Source organism: Homo sapiens, chromosome 7 (genome assembly GCF_000001405.40).
Source record: "Homo sapiens chromosome 7, GRCh38.p14 Primary Assembly".
NCBI classification, from domain to species: domain Eukaryota; kingdom Metazoa; phylum Chordata; class Mammalia; order Primates; family Hominidae; genus Homo; species Homo sapiens.
This window is the reverse complement of record NC_000007.14, coordinates 57,517,187-57,522,418: the sequence shown is the minus strand read 5'-3', so window position 1 is coordinate 57,522,418 and position 5,232 is coordinate 57,517,187. Positions and strand designations below refer to the sequence as shown.

At 33.6% G+C, this 5,232-nt stretch overlaps 1 long non-coding RNA gene across 1 annotated transcript; it reads left to right on the top strand.

Moving 5' to 3' along the window:
- The first annotated feature begins 1,764 nt into the window (after window positions 1–1,764).
- Window positions 1,765–4,406, top strand: LOC105375300 (uncharacterized). Its single transcript, XR_927306.2, has 3 exons — window positions 1,765–1,794; window positions 2,862–2,926; window positions 3,958–4,406. It is a non-coding gene; the product is annotated as an uncharacterized LOC105375300 (long non-coding RNA).
- Window positions 4,407–5,232: the final 826 nt, after the last annotated feature.

Here is a 5,232-nt window from a genome sequence, read left to right as displayed (position 1 = left end):
GTAAAGTACTGGTTTGTAAGGTTGGGACATACTGACTATAAAGCTTAAGATTAAAATCAAGCAGAAAACCAAATACTGCATGTTCTCATTTATAAGTGGAAGCTAATCAGTAGGTACACAGGAATACAAAGAGGGGAAGGATAAACACTGGGAACTCCAAAAGAGGGGTGGAAGGAAGGGGAGGGAGGACTGAAAAACTACTTATTTGGTGCTATGCTCACTATGTGGGTGACAAGATCAATTGTACCCCAAACCTCAGCATCACATAATATGCCCATATAACAAATGCACACATGTATCCCCTGAATGTAAAATAAAAGTTAGAATTATAAGAAAATAAAAAGCAGGATGTTTCTAAAGGGGTTTCAGTTTGGAATGACCTAGAATTTAATGAATAGCAGATATTTAATAACCTAAATTAACAAGCAATGACAAAGAAATATTAATTATACATTATTTTAACCAAGCTGAGAGTTCACCTGTTTTGAGGTAGGCACAAATTAGCTAAATTCTGTTTTGTGCGGTTTTTTTTTCCCCCACAAAACGGCAAATTCTAAAGGCTATAAGTAGACCTCTGTTATTTTCAATGTATTTAAAATATTAAATAATTGTTTTATTTTACAGCAATCTTGCAGCCTTTAAATTATTTTAATAAGAAAAAATGACATATGATTTTTTTTAAATTTTATCAACTATTTGTTTTGGGTTTAATCTAAGTATTCCATAACATACCTAGGGCCAAAATGTTCCAATACTGAACCAAAATATGTCTCAATAAACAATAATAGTGCTCCAGGTATGGAAGTGCTGGGTGACTAATCAGGACTTGATTACTAGCATTAACTGTCATCAGTATTTCAATACTAACTTCAGTGCTAGTAAGACATCAATTTGCTGTAACAAGTATTTACAAAATATGCTGTGGTCACAAAAGTAGGATGTGCCATGTGACTTCGTCTCACATACAAAAAAATGTATGCAAGGTAATTAAAAAATTGGAGTTGTTTTGAAAATATCCTCATATTTACTGAGTTTAAATGTTCTTTTCATTATGAGGGTAATTAGATAATCAGGCTAAATGCACATATTTTGATAAACAAATGAATTCTTAGCAAAAATCCCAAGTATAAAAATAAGATTTATTTTAAATGAATGAGTGCTGTTTCTTTGAATTTGGACAATCTGTATATTTAAAATCTAATTTTCAAAATGATTTCAATTTTAAATTAAGAAAAATGCTTTACATACTTGAATCTAAAATTACATGTTATAATACTATATGTGTTTGGAGATATGTTTCTTTATACAACAAATAAATTATATTTACAGATGTGTGCCTAGAGAGAATATGTATCTGTAGGTACTTCACAATTAACAGGAATACTGCATTTGAGAGAGAGAGAGAGTTGGAGACAGATAGGCAGAGAAAATATGAGGCAAGGTGAGAGAGAGAATCCAATAATAATCTTCAGAGTAAAAAACAGAATTTTATGTTTTCCTCACCAACATAGACTCTTGCCTCTGTCTTACAATTGCTAATGAAGAACTATAATCTTCTCCTAAATCAGTCAGTAAAAGATAAATTTTATTTTACCTTCATTTCTTTTCAAATACTCTTCCTTTTTAATGTAGATCTGAGTTCTGTTTTTTATTTTATTTTGTTTTGTTCTGTTTTTGTAGAGATGGAGTGTCACTATGTGGCCCAGGCTAGTCTCCTGGCCTTAAGTGATCCTCCTGCCTCAGCCTCCCAAAGTGCTGAGATGACAAGCATGAGCTACTGCACCCGGCTGAAAGGTAAACTGTAGATCATCAGTATTGATAGCTCTACATGATACTTAAGCTGAACTCTGGCATAAAAATAACATATTAAACAGGATATAGGATGGTATAACCATTTACTTGTTAAAACTTAAATTTTAAATGATTTATTTATTCACATCAAAACAAAAGATATCTGAAAACATTTTCATTATTCCATTTAAGTAAGTTGAAAACATTGGACTTTTCTTAACCAATTTTCATCGAGTTATCACTGATTTTCATTAAATGATACTCCTTTTCAGCTCTTATCCACAGAGGTTTGCACTGTTTTCACAAAAATCGCAGATAATTTAAGCCTATGGCAGGAAGCAGGGGAAGGTCAGTGAAATAGCATTATCATATAGTGTCTTGTTCAGTGAAGTAACACTTAAAGAGAAGTGTCTGCTGGAAGCCAGCCAAATCATTGTCAGCTCTGGAACTGTCAGGTAGTTGAGTCTTCCAGGTTGTTATTCAAGTTCTCCTTTGAATTTAGGGAATGCTGGGATGAGTAAATGTCTTTCAGAATAAGTGAAATTTAAGAGTATTGTCCAGTTCAATGTTTCCATTGCATGAAATAATCATGGTTTGGTGAATAATAGCAAAACTGGAAGTGAGGAATGCTGTATATAGTTAGGTCTGTCCAGGTTTTAGCCTTTAGCACTGTCAAGGAACTTTTCCAAGGAGCTTTAATTACCTTACCTATAAACTAGGAACAGTAAAATAGACTCTTGTTCCCAGCAAGGCTGTTTTAGGAATCAGAGGGAACACATTTGTTAAAAGAGCATTTGAAATAAAAATTTATAACAACAGTGTTAATTCTCACAAGATTTTTGAGAATGTTTAAACATGAGCAATTATAATCTTCAACTTTGATCCAACAAAGTTCATAAGAAGATATATTGGCCGTCTTTAATTCATGCAATCATTCCGTGAGTCATTCAGCCATTCACTGAGCAACTATGATGTGTAAGTGAATATCTTTACAATTAATGTACTAAAAATCAAAAAGAAGAATAGCTAATAAGACTAACCATGTTGAAATATGGTTAATTACCTTAAAGGAAATATAGTTGACCTTGAATAATGCAAAGCATTAGGAGTGCCAACCCTCTGCACAGTTGAAAATGTGAGTATAACTTTTGACTCCTTGAAAACATAACTAATAATAGCCTAATGTTGACAGGAAGCCATACTGAAAACTTAAACAGTTAATTAACATATTTTGTATATTAAATGTGTTATAAACTTTATTTTTACAATAAATAAAGCTAAAGCAAAACATTATAAAGAAAATCATAAGAAAGATAAAATATATCTACTTCTTAATAAATAGAAGTGGATCATCATAAAGGTCTTCATCCTTTTTGTCTTCATGTTTTGTAAACTGAAGAGGAGGAGGAAGAGAAGGGGTTGGTCTTGCTGTCTCAGGAGTGTCAGAGGCAGGAGAGGTGGAGGCGCTGAAAGAGGCAGGAGAGCAGGCACACTTGTAACCTTTATTGGAAAAAAATCCATGTATTAGTGGACACACACAATTCAAACCCATTTTCTAAGGGTCACTTGTAGATAGAAAGTTGTACTGGGTTTGGAAACCAATATAATTTAGTTAGACCAAGACACTTCTAGCAAGAGGAATGAATTTGAAATGCAAATCATTTTTTTCTCTCAATCAATTCAGAAATCTGTACCTTAAATATGTTGTCATTCAAGACCTGCCTCATCAAATCATAGTACTCCTTCCTCGTCACATGTCACTCAGAATCTTATTATATTTAGAAATTTTAGTACTACCTTTTTTATAACTTTTATTTAAGTTCAGGGGTACAAGTGCAGGTTTGTTAAATAGGTAAACGTATCATGGGGTTTGTTACACAGATTATTTTACCACGCAGTTAATAAGTCTTGTACCCATTAGTATCCATTAGTTATTTTTCATAATCCTCACCCTCCTCCCACCCTCCACCCTCAAAAAGGCGCCAGCACTTGTTGTTCCCCTCTATAAATTAGCCCTTTGCTAGGGAAAATACAACATACAGTTATCTCTGACAAAGGCTTGAGAAGGCTCTTCTAAATATACACTACCCATTTTAGAAATCAGATTAAAAATATAGAGAAATTCATATTCTTTTTTAATAATAGAGGATCCTATTGTTCTTATAGACAACTAACCAGACTTCACATGAAAGTGGGAAATGTTTAATATAGTTTTGAGAAGTGAAGATTGAAAAATAATACAACAATAATGAGATGAAGCTGTACAACATCTGCGTTGAGCCATTTGACCCAAGCAGTGAATCAAAGATTTCAAGTAATGTGTATTTTTTATTATTTTTCTCTTCTTGGGGTAACTATAACACAATAAAAAAGAATTCATAAAAAATTCTAACGTATTAGTCCATTATGCTGCTATATACAACTGTTGAGGACTGGGTAATTTATAAAGAAAGAGATTTAATTGACTCACAGCTTTACATGGCTGGGGAGGCCTCAGGAAACTTACAATCATGGAGAAGACACCTCTTCCCAGCTTGGCAGGAGAGAGAATGAGTGCGGAACAAAGAGGGAAGCCTCTTGTAGAGCCATCAGATCTCTTGAGAACTCACTCACTATCATGCGAACAGCATGGGGGAAACCACCCCCATGATTCAATTATCTCCACCTGGTCCCACCCTTGACCTGCGGGGATTATTACAATTCAAGAGAAGATTTTGGGTGAGGACACGGAGTCAAACCATATCACCTATGATTTTTTTTTTTTTTTTTTTTTTTTTTTGCTATTTTAGGTTTTACTTTTATTTCCTTCTACGTAAAAGTTTCACACCTTTTAACTCGGCACATTCTCAACTTCTCCCATGTTAGTATCTAACATGGGGCAGTCCTTGCTTAACATGTTTCTCTCTATTCCGGACTTATATGCCTATTCCATTTCTCTGACTTTCAGCATTTTGATTTTTAGCCAATGTCACCTACTCTTAAAATGAGTTAATTACCATACAGTTTGATTATTGTCCCATTGTTCTGTTGGCTATTGGGCAGATCTGTCATTAATCTATATAACCATTTGGAAACATACTCTCTTAAATGTTTTTGAAGATAATTATATTTTCAGCTTCACTCTATGGAGAGATGATACAAGCACACACACATGCACACAGGACTCCAAATTTTCTTATCTTTATTAATGTTATTTCCAACCAGCACTTCTAAATCTTGATGTAACTTCTAACACTTCTTTATTTGTCTTTCCCTTCAATTTGAGCCACCAAAATTCCTTTTATTCCCATTTCTATGCCTACTCAGGATTTTATGAACTGACTACTAGATTTGCTCAATGGGCTCCTGCCATTTCAACATTTGAAGATCTGCCTTTATAATCAATCAAAACCATCCACCTCAGAATCACTTTTAGAAATACAACGTTGATCATGTCTCTCA